The sequence below is a fragment of the Homo sapiens genome, chromosome 10 (assembly GCF_000001405.40).
Source record: "Homo sapiens chromosome 10, GRCh38.p14 Primary Assembly".
Taxonomy (NCBI): Eukaryota; Metazoa; Chordata; class Mammalia; order Primates; family Hominidae; genus Homo; species Homo sapiens.
In genome coordinates this window covers 70,330,972-70,347,950 of record NC_000010.11, presented here as the reverse complement: position 1 = coordinate 70,347,950, position 16,979 = coordinate 70,330,972, and the positions used below count along the sequence as shown (strand labels likewise).

The window sequence follows — 16,979 nt, the reverse complement described above, 5'->3', positions numbered from 1 at the left end:
GGTGACATTCCAGGCCCTCGGCATCCTCTAATGTGGCCTTGCGGTGTGTCAGTTGGCCAGATGAAGCCGCAGAGGGCTTGTATGTTGCTTGTTTTTTGTGTGTGTGTGTTTTTTGGGTTTTTTTTTTTTTTTGAGACGGAGTCTCGCTCTGTTGCCCAGGCTGGAGTATAGTGGTGTGATCTCGGCTCACTGTAACCTCCTCCTCCCAGGCTCAAGCAATTCTCCCACCTCAGCCCCCCAAGTAGCTGGGATTATAGGACGCGCCACCACACCCGGCAGATTTTTGTATTTTTAGTAAAGATGGGGTTTCACCATGTTGGCTAGGCTGGTCTTGAACTCCTGACCTCAAGTGATTTGCCCGCCTCGGCCTCCCAAAGTGCTGGGAATTACACACGTGAGCCACCGTGCCCGGCACTTGTATGTTGCCTAAATCAGAGACTGGAAGGGTGGGTGGTGTGAGGTTGGGATGGTGTGTAGATGGCCCAGGTGGTCGGAATGGGACTGTGGGCTGGACATTTCTGGGCTGATCTACTCCGGAAAGACAGGCTGCTTTGAGTACCCTTGGAAATAACTTGCATGGCTTTATGGCTTCTTCCTCCGTTGTAAGCACTTTCTCTCCCTACTGTGGGGAGTGGTGGTCCCTGAAAGCTCCTATTCACAGCTCTGCCCCAGCCCAATGCAGAGTTCCTGTGTTTCTTGGATCTGCTTTTCCCTATTTCCCTCACTGACGAAGAGCTGGCTGCCCTCAATTTATCTGCGAATTTGCCAGGTTATTTTTTCCAATAAAAGTTAACTTTAGCACTTAGGGAACATGAGGCAGGTGGATCACTTGAGGCCAGGAGTTCAAGACCAGCCTGGGCAGCATGGTGAAACACTGTCTCTACTAAAAATACAAAAATTAGCAGGGCATGGTGGCATGCACCTGTAGTCCCAGCTACTTGGGAGGCTGAGGTGGGAGAATCACTTGAGCTTGGGAGGTGAAGGTAGCAGTGAGCCGAGATCACGCCACTGCCCTCCAGCCTGGGTGGCAGAGCGAGATCCTGTCTCAGAAAAATAGCTAATTTTATGATACATTAATTTTTTATTTTAAAAGTAAAGTATCACTGTATACAGATACTTGGCAAATGGTTTTATATAAATATAGAATGGTATTTTACTTACTTTGTATAAAGTAAACAACCATGAAGACTATAATTTAGTAACAAATTGCTCAAATCCTTTGAAATAACCACTGTTAGCATTCTGGTTATTTTTCTTTCTATTGTCTTTCCCAGGCATGTATCCTTTTATACCTAGTTGGAATTACAATGTGCATATGGTTTTTATGTCCTGCTTCAGAAAAAAACCCTACGCTCTGTAACATGAATGATTCAACAAGAGAAACAATCAACACACCTGGGTTGATAATACTATTTAAAGAGCTCTACAAACATTTGGGAGAAAAAAATGCCAGAGCTCCAAGTAGAAAAATAGTGAGACATGGATAGGATTTTCCATAGGGGAAACAAATGGTTAATTAATATTTACTTTATTTTATTAGAGATAGGGTCTTGCTCTGTTGCCCAGCTTGAGTGCAGTGATGCAATCATAGCTTACTGCAGCCTTGAACTGGACCCAAGTGATCCTCCCACCTCATCCTCCCGAGTACCTGGAACTACACACAGGCACCACCACGTCAAGCAAATTTATTTTATTTATTTATTTTTTTGAGACAGAGTCTCTCTGTCATTCTGTCGCCTAGGCTGGAGTGCAGTGATACAATCTTGGCCTCCCGGGTTCAGGCAGTTCTCCTGCCTCAGCCTCCTGAGTAGCTGGGATTACAAGCGCCCGTCACCACACCTGGCTAAATTTTGTATTTTTAGTAGAGATAGGGTTTCATCATGTTGGCCAGGCTGGTCTCAAACTCAAGTGATCTCCCTGCCTCGGCCCCTCAAAATGATGGGATTACAGTGTGAGCCACCATATCCAGCCGTATTTTATTTTTTGTAGAGACGGGTCTTGCTGTGTTGCCCAGGTTGGTTGTGAACTGGCCTCAAGTGATCCTCCAACCTTGGGGATTACAGGTGTGAGCCACCATGCCTAGCTGAAAAACAGTTAATTAACCATGAAAGACAGTCAGTCTCATTATTGAAAATATTGCAAATTAAAGCAGGATACCATTTCCCTTGATCAACTTAGCAAGGCTTTCTTTTCTTTTTAATGATTCTATTATTTGTTGGATAGGTTACATGTAAATTGGCATAAATATTCTGGAAAGCAATTTGGAAACACATCAGGAGCTATATATTTGTTTACTAATTATGTTTTTTCCTTTGTAAATATCTTACGTCCTTTCCTTCTCAGGTGGTCTTAATTTTTTCTTTATTCAATTATATTGAGTAGTTTCAGTAATAAAGATGACTCTGTATGCATCCTATTTACAGATCCCTGTTGTTTGCTTTACTCTTTTTAAGCTTCTAAGTGTTTTATATTTTTTTAATGCAGTTAGTTTTGTTGATCTGTTCCTTTGTGATTCTGTTATGCTCCTAGATTTGGGAAGTCATCCTCACTTAAGAGGTTGTATAAATGTTCAATTAAGTTTACTTTTTTTAATTTGGTTTAAAAATATTTAACGTGTAATTCTATCTAGGATGTATTTTGATTCTTAGATTGAGTCTTTCTCAGAATTGTTAAGGGGTTATTCTGACATCAGTTGATTAATCCTTCCCTCTCCAGTTTATTTGTGAAGCTTCCTTTAGCATTTATTATGACATTATTTCTGGACTATATTTTTTGAACTACATAATTTCTTTCTATGATCTATTTTCCATTTTGCCCTCTGTTTTAATTATTTTAGGCTTATAATATTGGTTATAACCTCACCTTTTTAAGAGGGTCTTGCTTATAGATTTCCCTAGTTGAACTTTAAAACCATTTAGTTAACTTAAAAATAAATAAAAAACCTTGTGAGGATTTGTGTAGTAGTTACATTCAACAATATATAAATTAATTTCTTTAAAAAACCGGTGTTTCAATATTTTGACTTGTCATCAATGGACATGTTATATCTTCACATACAAAACTATTTTTAAAAATGTCTTTGTGGGCCGGGTGCCGTGGCTCGTGACTATAATCCTAGCACTTCGGGAGGCCTAGGTGGGCAGATCACTTGGGCTCAGGAATTCAAGACTAGCCTGAGTAACATGGCAAAACTCCATCTCTACAAAAAATACAAAAATTAGCCGGGTTTGATGGCACGTGCCTGTAGTCCCAGCTACCCGGGAAGCTGAGGTGGGAGGATCGTTTAAGCCCAGGAGTTCGAGGCTGCAGTGAGCCGAGATCGTGCCACTGCACTCCAGCCTGGGTGACAGAGCGAGACCCTGTCTCAATAAACAAAACAAAACGAAAATAAATATCTTTGTGAACTTTTCTACTTTTTTTTTATATTGGTCAGATACATTTTTCATTATGCTCATTTCTCTATATTTTATATTGTTGTTAGGAATAGTATCTTTAAAAACTGTATTTTCTTGCTGGTGCATAGGAATATCATTGCCTTTTGCATGCTTATTTGATTAGCCGCTTTGCTGAGACCATTTTAATTTATGTTGTTTGTCACATGACTGTTTTGGGTTTCTGAGGTTATACAGTCATTTCATATGCACCTAAGAATCATTTTGTCTGTTTTCAATGTCTGTGCTTTCTATTTAATTAGCCAGACCTGACTTGACTTTTCTTTTCTTTTCTTTTTTTTATTTTCTTTTCTTTTTTTCAGACAAGGTCTCACTGTCACTCAGGCTGGAGTGCAGTGAAGTGTAGAGGCTCACTGCAGCCTTGACCTCTTGGGTTCAAGCGATCTTCTTCCCACTTCAACCCCCAAGTATCTGCGACTACAGGCACACACCACCATGCCCAGCTAGTTTTTAAATGTTTTCTGTAGAGACAGGGTCTCACTATGTTGCCCAGGCTAGTCTCAAACTCCTGGGCTCAAGCAATCCTTCCACTTTGGTCTCCCAATGTACTGGATTTACAGACATGAGACACCATGCCCGGCCTGGCAAGAACTTTCATGATGCTATTTAGGGATACTGGTGATGAAAGACATCCTTATTTTGCTCTTTGTTTTAAAGGGAAAGCTTCTTCCATTACTTTGATGTTGCTCCTGGGATGTATGATGAGATCTGCCTACTCCTACCCAAAGGGACTGGTGTAATTCACAACAACTCCAACAAAACTTCTTTCCAGCCCTTAATATATCGGTCACAGAGCACTAGAGGGCTTGTTGTTTGGAACGATTACTCTTTTTAGAATCCCCAGGTTGCCCCAAACTCTGAGCCCACAGTGCCTGTTTGCTTCCAGCTCAGCCCTTGCTTTCTCTCTTCTGAAAGCCTGACTTTTGGGAGCTTGTTCCTCCCTGGCAGGATTTAGCAGTCTCTCCTGCCAACCCCACCTGCTGATAGAAGAGCTGGTGCTTGACACTGGGCAGCCGCAGGGCTGGGTTACCAAGTGCAGCCCTGGACCAGAGGAGGCATTAACAACACCCCTTATAGGCTGCCTGGCAGAGGAGCCCTGTGGACCCTCAGTCATCTGTACTTTTGCCCTTTTCCCACCTGTCCCTTTTCCCCCCCAAAACCACATCTGTGAGGTCAACTGGAACCCCTGCCTTACCCATGAGTCTGCTGGACTTCTGGTACTATGCTCTGGGTGTCTTCCCAGTCCACTGGGAAGATAGCACAAAAAGGGATTAATACAACACAGGGTGAAGAGGTCTTGTTCGCATTATATGAGGCTCAGCTTGTGGAGCAACTAACTGCTTAGGACAGTCAGAGAAAGCTTCATGGAGAAGGTGACATTTGAGCTGGGTCTTGGAAATTCTGTGAGGCAGATGAGGGAGAAAGGCTTCAATTGTGATTATTTCCATGTATTTCATATTATTGTTGCTGTTAGGAATAGAATCTTTTAAAACCATATTTTATTGCTGGCATATAGAAATATTGAGTTTCACATGTTTATTTTGGAGCAATCGTCAAAGGCTTAGAAGCCTGGGAGAGCCTGGCCTCTTTGGGGAAAAGATGAGAGTTTCTGAGAGATAAATGGGGTGGTGCTGTCACGCTCGATGAGTGCTGCTGGGGTTCGAGGTTGGGGGCTGACTGGACACCAGCAAAAGGGGTGACCCAGAAGACTTCTGGAAGAGATGAGATGGAAGCTGGCCTGGAAGCATAGAGAGGCTTTAGATCGAGTGGCAAGAGGAGGTAAAGTGGAAGGGGAGGACTGCTACAATATTTGTAGCATTCCTGCTAAGTATCTTCTAGGCGCTTTGTTAGTCATTATTTTACTACATTTAATTTTTCCCAACAGCTCTGCTAGGCAGCTGGTGGTACCTTCATTCTGTGGATGAGGAAACTGAGGCTCAGGGAACTTGAGTGACACCTTGATGAACTGGACAGACTAATTTCTGAACCCCTATGCTTTTAGGGTCTATCTGCTGCTGTTCACATATATAATAATATATACAATTATATATGTATATATATCAGCTTTATTGATGTATAATTCACATGCCACACAATTCATCCACTTAAAGTGTACAATTCAGTGGTTTTACTATGTTCAGAGTTGAGCAGTTATCACCACAATCCAATCTTAGAACTTTTTTTTTTTTTTGAGATAGTCTCACTCTGTTGCCCAGGTTGGAGTGCAGTGGTGTGATCTCAGCTCACTGCAACCTTTGCCTCCCAGGTTGAAGCGATTCTCATGACTCAGCCTCCCGAGTAGTTGGGATTGCAGGCATGTGCCACCATGCCCAGCTAATTTTTTTGTTTTTTTTGTATTTTTAGTAGAGATGGGGTTTCTCTATATTGGCCAGGCTGGTCTCAAACTCCTGGCCTCAAGTGATCTGGCCACCTCAGCCTCCCAAAGTGCTGGGATTGCAGGCGTGAGCCACTGCGCCCCGCCCAATCTTAGAACATTTTTATTACCCCTACAAAGAACTCCCCCACCCTCCATCCCCTGCAGCCTTGGCTAATCTACTTTCCGTCTGTATGCATTTGCCTATTCTTGACATTTCATATAATGAAACTGTACAATATGCAGGCCTTTGTAACTGGCTTTTGCCTGGCATCACATTTTCAGGGTTCAGCCATGCTATAGCTGCTATAACATACATTGGTACTTCATTTCTTTTTTAAAAATTTTTTTGGTGGGGAGACGGAGTCTTGTTCTGTTGCCCAGGCTGGTGTGCAGTGGTATGACCTGGGCCCACTGTAACTCCCACCTCCCAGGCTCAAGTGATTCTCGTGCCTCAGCCTTGTGAGTAGCTGGGATTACAGGTACATACCACCATGCCCGGCTAATTTTTTTGTTTTTAGTAGAGATAGGATTTCACCATGTTGGCCAGGCTGGTCTCGAACTCCTGGCTTCAAGCCATCCACCCACCTTGGCCTCCCAAAGTGCTGGGATTACAGGCGTGAGCCACCACGCCTGGCCACTTCATTTCTTTTTGTTGCTGGATGATATTCCCTTTCATGGAGAGACCACATTTTGCTGATCCAGTCCCCAGTTGGTGGACATTTGGGTTGTTTCCACTTTCTGGCTTTCGGGCCATTGTGAATAACGCTGCCATGAACATCCACATGTAATGTGTTTTTGCATGGATGTATGTTTTTGTCTCTTGGGTATATACCTAAGAGTGGAGTGACTGGGTCATATGGTAACTCTGTGCTCTGTGTTTAACCATTTGAGGAAGTGCCTGACTGTTCTGCACAGTGGCTTCCCAACTGCTGCTTGTACGAGGCTTGCCTTCAGCGTGACAGGACTAGGAAGAAGATCAAACCATAAAGTCTGTGTGAATTGCCTGTTTTCAAAGAAGTAGACTATTGTAAAGCAGTCTTTAGACTGCATCTGCGCTGTCGAGTCTTTGATGATTCTAAAGGGACTTGTGGATTCTGCAGGATCTCAAAGGCACTGCTATGAATGCCAGTCATCTTTGTGCCGGCAGACACGATTCTGGCTAGTAGGCTGTGGTAACAGAGATGGTGCTAACACAAATCCTTAGGTTCAGGGTGCAAGGGAGGGACAGGTGTGAGTTAATGCCTATGAGGAGGGCTCCTGGAAGAGGGAGGGCAGGGTCTGAAGCCTGGTCCTGGGGAGACAGGTGGGAGGGCAAGGAGGCTGGAAGGGGGCATGGAGGTGGGGTCTGTGTGAGTCTGGGACAAGTTCTCGGGCAGCTGTGGCTGATAACTCTGGTTTGTTTTTGTTCTTTGGCTGCAGACCTGGCCGAGTGCAAGCTGGTCTCCTTTCCCATTGGCATCTACAAGGTCCTGCGGAATGTCTCTGGCCAGATCCACCTCATCACCCTGGCTAACAACGAGCTTAAGTCCCTCACCAGCAAGTTCATGACCACATTCAGTCAGCTCCGAGGTAGGCCCTGGTCAGCTCCAGCCAGGAGGGCATGGCCAGCTCTCATCGTTCAGGCTCTGACCCTGTCTGGGGAGTGCCACCAGAGCTGGTCCCTGGTCAGCGACACCCATGAAATCATTCCCATGGGTTGACTTTGAAAATGGACCTGTGTTCTCCCTGCAGCTTGGAACTCTCTAGGTCACTTCTGCCTCTAGCTGGCTGTGAAGCAGATTGAACAAGGATCAAGGGTGTGGTTCCTGGAGTGATTCTCTTGTTCTGAACAGACCAGCAGGGTGTTTGGGTCCTGAGGCCCTGGGAGTTGTTATTTCCCAGTAGTCTTGAATGAGCCCCCTTCTCACCTTCCAATCTAGTGTTGTTCTCCTGTGTTGCTCTCTCAGTTCAGGAGTGACAGATGCCAGGGATGTTGGCATTTTCTTTTCTTTTTTTTTTTTTGAGATGGAATCTTGCTGTATCGCCCAGGCTGGAGTGCAGCGGTGTGATCTCGGCTCACTGCAGCCTCCACCTCCCAGGTTCAAGCGATTCTCCTGCCTCAGCCTCCCAAGTAGCTGGGATTACAGGTGTGTGCCACCACACCTGGGTCATTTTAATATTTTTAATAGAGGTGGGGTTTTACCATGTTGGCCAAGCTGGTCTCAAACTCCTGACCTCAGGTGATCTGCCCGCCTCAGTCTCCCAAAGCGCTGGGATTACAGGTATGAGCCACCATGCCTGGCCGATGTTGGCATTTTCTCTGCTGGGCATATTCAGAGCATGTGGTTGTAGGTGCTTGCCATCAAGGTGGCAGGAGTCCAGCAGGTGAGCCTCGTAGATGCTCTAGAAATGGTTCCTCTGGATGGACAAGCAGTGTGGCCTGACTGCTGCAGTGCCTGCCCTCTTCTCCAGAGAGCAGTCTCTCCATCCTTCTACGAGAGGTCACTGCTGCTCAGTGACCCATGTGACAGAGCTGTGGCATGGGCGCCTGTTGTACGTTTGTGAACGAGTGGAGTGGGAGAATTGCGGAGGGCACAGGAAGCCTAGGGGGGCAGATCCTGCTTCATCCCAGACTCACATGGACCCCAACTCCATGCCCCCCTTCCAGCCTCCTTGCGCTCTCACCTGCCTGCCCTGGAGACCAGGCTTCAGAGCCTGCCCTCTGTCTTCCAGGAGCCTTCCTCACAGGCATTAACTCACACCTGTCTCTCCCTTGCACCTTGAACTTAAGGATTTGTAACAGCACCATCTCTGTTGCCACAGCCTCCTAGCCAGAATTGTGTCTGCTGGTACAAAGACGACCAGCATTCATAGCAGTGCCCTTGAGACTTTGAAGAATCCACAAGTCCCTTTGGAATCATCAAAGACTCAACAGCGAAGATGCAGTTTAAAGAGTGCTTCACAATAGTCTACTTCTTTGAAAACAGGCATTTCACACAGACTTTCTTCCTAGTCCTGTCACACTGAAGGCAAGCCTCATACAAGCAGCAGCTGGGAAGCTGCTGTGTAGACAGGTCAAGCAGTTCCTCAAATGGTTAAACACAGAGCACAGAGTTACCATATGACCCAGTCACTCCCCTCCTACGTATATACCCAAGAGGTGTAAAAACATATGTCCACGTTGCCAGGTGCAGTGGCTCACGCCTGTAATCCCAGCACTTTGGGAGGCTGAGGCAGGTGGATCCCCTGAGGTCAGGAGTTCAAGATCAGCCTGACCAACATGGCGAAACTCTGTCTCTACTAAAAATACAAAAATTAGCCGGGTGTGGTGGCGCACACCTGTAATCCCAACTACTTGGGAGGCTGATGCAGGAGAATCGCTTGAACCCGGAAGGTGGAGGTTGCAGTGAGCTGCGATCGTGCCACTGCACTCCAGCCTGGGTGACAGAGCAAGACTATGTCTCAAAAAAACAAAACAAACAAACAAACAAAAACCAAAAAAACAAAACCATACATCCATGCAAAAACACATTACACGTGGATGTTCATGGCAGCATTATTCATAACAGCCTGAAAGCTGGAAAGTGGAAACAACCCAAATGTCTATCAACTGGGAAATGGATCCACAGAATGTGGTCTCCCCATGAAAGGGAATATCATCTAGGATCTAGGAATGCTCTACGTGATAGGGATATGAAAAGGGTCTAAGATCCTGTTTAGAGAAAGAAATACATGAAATGCTGATGATGCATGAGGGACCCGAGCAAGCCTATCTCATAGGGCTGACTTTAGGCTAGGCAAGCTTCCTAGAGGAGGTGTGGGCATTGGGCAGGCCAGGAGGGAGAGGGTGCATGAAGTGGCAAACACAGTGCAGGGACAGTGGCTCAGGAGGGAGCTACAGGCAGGACTTGGAAAGGCCACCATGCAAACAGAAGGACAAGGAGGAGGGATTAGTCTACATAGCTGTTTCTGAGTGAAGCTCACAGAGTTTGTTGCATTTGTGCCTGAAAAGCTAAAATCCCTATGACTTGGAGGACAGGGAGAGGCTCCTAGAGCAGGATTTCCAGGTCTGGAACTTTCCAGGCCACCTGTGTTTGTCCCAGGGTCCTCTAGTGCTGTACTCAGCCAATTGGGATTGGATGTTTGCTTTCCCGAGGAGGATAGAATGATTGAAAATGGAGGGTGGGGCTGTCCGGGCCCTCAGAAAGGGCACAGTCAGGCCCTTTGGGTAAGAGGAGAGTTCACTTGTGCTTTTACTTCATTAGACCTTCCCTTGAACACCTGCGTCTCCCAGACCTAGGTCCGGAGGCCCAGAAACAAAGGCCAATCCACCAGGGTCTCCCCCTGAGGAGACCAGGGTTGCAGGACACATTGTCCTCACCACCCAGTGCTGTGATACGGGTATGGACAAAATGCTGGAAGGGACTGCTGGGAAGAGGAATGAATTCTTCCTGAGAGTGGCATGGGAAGGGCCTGGGTATGGATGCAAGAGCTTTGAAACTGCTTGACATCTGGGGAGAGCCTTGTGGGATGAGTAAGTAGGCCCTCCCCAGAGGGCATGGGGAAAGGTGCCAGAGAAATGCTACTTAGCCCATGCATCTGTGGGATGCGGAAATGTATTTACGTAGCACCTTCTGGTTAGAAGTCTGCTGAAGTTGCTGTTTGAACTCCTTCTCTGCTGCCAGTGGCTCCTGACTCCCTCACGCTGCCTCAAATCACAAAGTGCCTGCTAATTGAATTCACAGAGGCAGCGGATTGAGGGATGCGGTGGCAGCAGGGAGGGTGGGAGCTGAGCACCCTGTTGGGCTCTCCCCCTACCCTGAGAGATGGCTCTGGGCCTGAGCCTTTGTTGTGGTTTCTCTTTCAAATAGAAAAGCCCTCTTCTTTTATGTGTGAAGAGGAGGCTTAAATAGGCCTGGCTGAGCTCAGCAGGCCTGCTCTGTCCTCCTCTGGGTGCTTGCAGAGGTGGGCTGCCTTAGTGCTGGGGAGAGAACAAGCTGCTTCCTCCCTGCCTGCCACAATGTCTCCTGGGGCTGCCCTGGGGACTCTTCTGCAAGGCCCAAGGCCCTGGCAGGGGTGGGTCATCTCTAGGTGATTCCATCCCCTTGATGTCCTTCATCCATTTTATGGAAGGAAAAAATAAGACATGAGAAAGCCAAGGGCACACATGGAATTGGTCTGATGGCAGGTGGGCCCTGCAGAGAGTGGGTCCCCATGTCCTGCTGTGGCTCTTCTGTCCCTTCTGCTCCTGTATCCCTGTTTCCCCTCTTCCTCAAGTCTTAGCTCTTTTTAGTGAGTGTGTCCTGGGACTGCCAGGCCAGAGGTGTAGGAGACACACCTATGGCAATAAACGAAGACCACCCAAATGAGAAAAGCACAGGCTATGTATTCGGAGCTTGCTACAGTGAAGGAGTCAGCCACCATCACTTGTGTGTTGGCAGAGACTCAAAGGCAGGCAGCAGAGTGGTAGAGTGGAAAAAAGGGAAGACTTCAGGTACTCTCTGATTGTTGGCACGGGGGAGTTCTAACTAGAGGCGGAGCATCCTCTGTGATTGACAAGGAGGGCATATTGGCTTTCTTTTGTTGGTCCTTAATTGGAAGTGGGGACAAAAATCAGGAAGCTGTTAGTTGTTAATTGAGTCCCAGCCATTTGGGACCAGTTGTTATAGGGATTGTTGTTTAGCTTCCTGAATGATTGCTAGAGATAGCAGTCTGACTTCCTACAAATCTGACATATGGCAGGCTGGCATCCTGGCTGGTTACTGTAGATCATGGGTTGGTTTCCTGGGCAGGCTGCTGCGGGTTGTGAGTGGAGTTCTGTTTTTATATTTGGCCTGGTCATTGCCTGTTTGTATATTCAGTCTCTCACATCCCTGCCCGTCAACTCAATCCAGCAGATTCCCACAAGCATTGGGTTCGGTGTGGCTGTGGGAATGCACGGGTGAGTGATAACAGCAGAGCCCAAATTCACAAGGTGCTCAGCTCTCCCGGCTCCATGCTGAGCATTCTCCCTGTATCATGTCATTTAGTCCTGATAGCAGCCGTGTCATTTGGAAATGATAAGAAAACTGAGAACTGGACGTGGCCCCGGAGGAGCCCCTCATCTTGCTGATCTTGCAGGGGAGGCAGGTTTATGAGCAGACACCATGTCATAATGTGAGGGGCGGTGCAGCAGACGTTTGTCCACGGTCTGTGGGTGTCCAGGTGTTGGAAGTCAGTTTTGCTTTCAGTAATTAGGGAATCAGAAAGCCTCCAGAGGAAATGGCTTAAAATGTGGATTTGACAGATAAGTAGGAGTTTACCAGGTAAATAAGAAGGAGTTTCTAAAGCATCTTTGGGACAGTGAAAGTTATGTTTGGGAAATAACTAGAAAAATGGTAGAAGACTGAGTGTTACAGAGCGGAGGGATGGTGTGTTGTTAGGGACTGGCTGGAAGGAGTCATCTGCCTGGGTGGGAATGTTTGGGAAGAGTTCTGGGAGGTTGGGAGGGGATAGGCCCTGTGGAAAAGGCAGAGAAGCATCCTAGCAGGGAGAAGCTGTGTGAGGCCAGGCCAGGAAGGCACGGAACAGGCAGGGCCTTGAAGCCAAGTCATAAGGGAGGTTGCGAGCTCCTTCTGCCCTCCAAAGCGATGAGTTCCCTCATCTCAAGAGCCTGGGCCTGGGCCAGGGCAGCCGGAGCTGGCTGCTGGGGCTGCTGCAGGGCAGGGGAGCGGCTTTGGTTGGTCGGGAGCAGCTGTGTGTGGGCGCGGGCGGGCGGACTGGGAGGTGGGTTGCTCCAGTCGGCCAGCCTGGGGCCTCCATGGAGACTTGCTGACCCCAAGACCCTGCATCTGGAGGTAACACAGCCTGGTGGAACTGGGCCCCAGAGGGCTTGTGAGTAGTTGGGGAGCATCCAGCAATGTGGAGTTGAGAAGTTCCCTGGGGCTCGTGGCTCATTTTCTCTGATTTTTCAGCAGCACCAGGCTTCTTGCCTCTTTCTGTTTCCCCAAGTGTGTGTTCTTTACACTGTCCCTGACAGGGAGATGCCAGCCAGCCATAAACTCCGGGAAGAAGTGTGGTTTCCTCCTCAGAGCCAGGCCCTCCCAGGGGTGACCTCGGAGATGTGCCCAGGGTGAGCCCACAGGGTGCATGACACCTGGGGGGAGCCTGTCTGCAGAGGGCTCCTGGCTGCTCACTGGGCTGCCCCTTACCCTCACCACAGGGCTCTCCAGGCAGCAGCTCCTGGTGCCTGCCAGAGAAAATGGGGCAATTTTCCTCATTATCTCAGCAATTAGGACAGTCAGGAGGGAGGCACCAGGCTTTATCTTTACCTCTGGCAACCGCCTTGGTGCCAGAGGGGGCCACGCCTCAGCCTTGGCTCCTCTCTGCACACTTTGGGGAGTGGTCTTCCTGCTCCAAGGGCCCTACATGCCTGGTGCCTGGGGGTGGGTGTGGGCAGAGGGCATGGAGAAGCTAGGTTAAAGCAACTGAGTTCATCCTAACAGGCCAGGGTGGTGAGGACGGGGTGGGTCCCTCTGTTCCTCAGGCCATGCCATCAAAGCTGCTGCTGTCCACGTGTGGTCAGGAGTCTTAGGCGGTATTTGGGGGTGGGAAGGGGGTGTGCCAGTGAACAGTGTATGTCAGTGCCCCACAGGAGTTACTATTTTCTGGAGTTCTGGGAAGGGAGGAGACGGGGAGTGTCCCCTGGGCACATTACATTTCCAAACCCGGGGAGCAAGGGAACCGTCCTCAGAAAGGCTGTTGGGGTGTTGGGGTCACAGTGTGCTGTTCCTCCCCAGCTTCCTACTTCACTTCAGCCCACTGGGTTTACTTTTTCTAATAGCTGATGTTACTTAGTGGACAAAAGAGAAAAGAAGAGGGGGCTCAGGAATGTGCAGGGACAGCAGGGCAGACATGGAAGCTTTGTGCGGTCAATGGGATGCTTAGGTTTGGTTGTAGCATGGGATCAGGCAGATCTACTCTGTCAGAAACACATTTTCTTTTTTTTTTTTTTAAGATGGAGTCTCGCTGTGTCACCCAGGGTGGAGTGCAGTGGCACTATCTCTGCTCACTGCCACCTCCACCTCCCCAGTTCAAGCGATTCTTCTGCCTCAGCCTCCCGAGTAGCTGGGATTACAGGCACTTGCCACCACGCCTGGCTAATTTTTGTATTTTTAGTAGAGACAGGATTTAACCATGTTGGTCAGGCTGGTCTCAAACTCCTGGCCTCAGATGATCCACCCATCATGTCCTCCCAAAGTGTTGGGATAATAGGCCTGAGCCACAGCACCCGGCCAGAAACACATTTTCTGGTTCTTTCAGTGCAACCCACCACTGGAATAGTGGGGTCTGGGAGAGTCCATCTCCCCTGAGTTATGCACAAGGGGCAGACCCCAATTGCAGATGATCAAGAGTTCCTACCTGGTACCAAGGCAGTGACAAGGTTGTGGCCTTCTGCATCAGTTTTTGCCATCAGTCCTCAAGGGTGCCCCACCCCTGGAGCTACCTGGATGACCTCAGTGAAGCAAAGGCCAAACTGTTTGTGACCCCTGCATGGCTGCTTCTGGGCAGTGGGTCAGCCCTTCCTAGCAGTGTTAAGGAACCCAAGCATCATGGGCTTCAGCATCCTTAGTAGAATCCCAGAGATGGGATCACTGAGGTCAGAGGGCATTTTGAGGCTCTACTACATATAGCAGAAGAACCGCCCAGCAGAGACCAACCAACCTACAGAGCTACAAAAAATAAGTTAAATTCCCTATGAAGGGGAGTTGGGGCAGCCTGGAGATGGATTGCTGCTGCACCAGCAGGAGAGCATCGCTTCCATCCTGGGTCTTAACCACCCCTAGAAACCAGCAGACCTCAACAGCCCCCTTGCACCCCCCAGCCCAGAATTCTGTACAGTGTGTTGGGGGAGGAGGGTACACCTGGAACACCAGGACCGTGTGGCTCTGAGCCTCTGGTACCTCTGTCCTCCAGAGCCCAAGCTAACACTTCTTGCAACCCTGTAAGGCAGAAGACTGCAGTTTCCCTTCACTTCCCTCTTCCAGGCTCTAAGTGCAGCTCTCCTTTGCTCCCAGCTCTGCGATTCAGATGTTTCCATACCTGCCTCTGCTCTTCTTACCCATTCCCAAGCACCTCTCTTGTTGCTGTTTATGTCTCTGCCACACCTGCAGAGCTCTAAGTCTTCATTTGAAAAACGTATCCTATTTACTTATTTATTTTTGATTAGGCAGTAGATGCACACAATGTGATATTTTGAGGATTGAAAGGATAGTGGGGAAAAATAAGTCTGCTCTTCTACTCCTGTCCCCAGACATCCAAGTCCGTGTCCAGAGACAACCACCATTAGCAGTACTGGAGATATTCCATGCCTATGTAAATATAAATATACTTCATAATAGTAGCATTTATAATATGCCACCAAGGGTAGGTACTGTTGTAAGCAAACAGAGCATAAAGTAACAAGTAACTTGCCCAAGTTCACACAGCAAGAAAAAAGAGCTACCTTAGTCTTTTCTTTTGAAACAGGTCTCCCTCTGTCACCCAGGCTGGAGTGCAGTGGTGCAATCTCGGCTCACTGCAACCTCTGCCTCCTGGGCTCAAGTGATCTTTCCACCTTAGCCTCCCGACTAGCTGGGACTACGGCACACACCATCAAACCTAGCTAATTTTTTGTATTGTTTGTAGAGACAGGGTCTTGCCATGTTGCCCAGGCTAGTCTTGAACTCCTAGACTCAAGTGATCCGCCTGTCTCAGCCTCCCAAAGTGTTGGGATTACAGGCGTGAGCCACTGCACCTGGCCTGCCTTAGTCTTTTTATGGAGGCAGAATGTTTAGTACTTCATTTTAGTCTGTTCCAGACCTTGTTAAAAGTGCTTTTTCTGCCCTTCCCCTTGTCCACCCCCAAGGAGTGAGTGTGGCATCTGGAAATGCCCTCTGACCCCTGTGGGCAGCAGCTGTCTCTGTGTGAAGCCTCCTCAGCACTGAGCATGGGCTGGTGGAAGGACACTGCCCACCTGACCGTCTGACTCTGCCCTGCTGGGGAGTCCGTGCAGTCAGGGACTGTGATTGCTCATTGCCGCAGGTTCAGAGCCGAGGTGCTGATTGAGGTTTGGTGAGCAGGTATTTTTGGAGTTGGCACATTCCTTCGAGCATGGGTTGTATAATTACTGCAGGCCAGCCTTGTCTGTCCCCTAATGGAATTGGCAAGCTTCTCTCTCAGCTGGGGTTAATCTAAGGCCTCTGAGTCAGCCTTGGCAATTGTCCAAGATAAGGATGGTACAGGAAGTAATAAGAGGAACTTGGGGAAGAAGAGGTCCATTTAACAGACACCGGAAACCACAGTTCAGTAGGTTTAATCAATAAGGAAATGTCATGATGGGGGCTGCTCTCAGGCTGGGTACAACGTTGGGAGTGGAATGGAGTGGGATCTTTTTCCAGAGCCCCGGTCCATCCTGGGAGCCCTGGTTGTTCCACTCTGAACCCTGGCCTGGTGCAGGAAGAATCTTTGGAACCCCTAATGCAGTCTTCTGGGACCAGAAGATCTCAGCCCTCTCTGTCCAGAAGAGGGGGCAGTAAGACCTTGGGCAGATGGCCTGGGTGCTGTGACTCCAGAGGTGAGAAGCAAAGCCAGACGTGGCTGTGGCTGTGTTGGGCTGGAAGCCCAACACACTGGCCGATCCCGTGGCTGGGGCTTTGGCCACACTTTTATTCTTCCTCTGAACTGGAAACAACAGAGAAAACCTTAAATGCCTGGTTTGGGGCCATATAAGAGATAAAAAGAAAGCCAAGGCATCAGCAGCCTTGCTGGCCCCAGTTGGCCTTCGTGGCCTCAGTTTCCTTATCTGAGAAATGGGGAAACATCTACTCCATAGTGATTTTGTGAGGTTGGAGATATTGCTTATAAGGTGCCCTGTGTAGGGTTTGGTGCATGCAAGATTCTTGATGAGTGATGCTTCTGATACAGTGATGGTGAAGACACTGGGGGGCTTAGTTGTAGACAAGAGAGGTCTCTGGCCAAGTAGTCAGGATGATGGTCCAGTCATAGGAATCTCTCTCCACAAGGAATTTCAGTGAGAACAGAACTGGAGAGATCCCCAAGTCCACGTCTTCACGGATGGGGACCCTGAGGCTCAGAAGGGAGAAGTGGCTTTTCTGACCTGCCTCCAGGAAGATGTAGGGCGAGACCTCAGT

General features: G+C 48.4%; 1 protein-coding gene across 17 annotated transcripts in view, besides 2 other annotated features; it reads left to right on the top strand.

Annotated features, from left to right (window-relative positions):
• The window catches only part of LRRC20 (leucine rich repeat containing 20), an 83,651-nt gene that overhangs the window by 34,675 nt on the left and 31,997 nt on the right, over positions 1–16,979 (top strand). For 12 of the 17 annotated variants that reach the window (NR_103468.2, NM_001278214.2, NM_018205.4 and 9 more), the window contains one exon: positions 7,249–7,398. The exons of the other annotated variants lie outside the window; for them this stretch is intronic. Coding sequence is in view for 11 of the 12 variants with exons in the window: in NM_018205.4 (NP_060675.1) it covers positions 7,249–7,398 (150 nt within the window). In the remaining variant the exon portion in view is untranslated. The remainder of the gene's footprint in view (positions 1–7,248; positions 7,399–16,979) is intronic. 17 annotated transcript variants of the gene reach the window in all.
• Positions 12,451–12,951: an enhancer, noted in NCBI's record as "H3K4me1 hESC enhancer chr10:72094756-72095256 (GRCh37/hg19 assembly coordinates)". NCBI's record gives its function as "activates a minimal SCP1, AML or CMV promoter by ChIP-STARR-seq in naive H9 embryonic stem cells {active_cell/tissue: H9 hESC(naive)}" and the evidence as "EXISTENCE:reporter gene assay evidence [ECO:0000049][PMID:30033119]".
• Positions 15,904–16,198: an enhancer, noted in NCBI's record as "tiled region #4423; K562 Activating DNase matched - State 5:Enh". NCBI's record gives its function as "activates a minimal TATA promoter and a strong SV40 promoter by Sharpr-MPRA in K562 cells {active_cell/tissue: K562}" and the evidence as "EXISTENCE:reporter gene assay evidence [ECO:0000049][PMID:27701403]".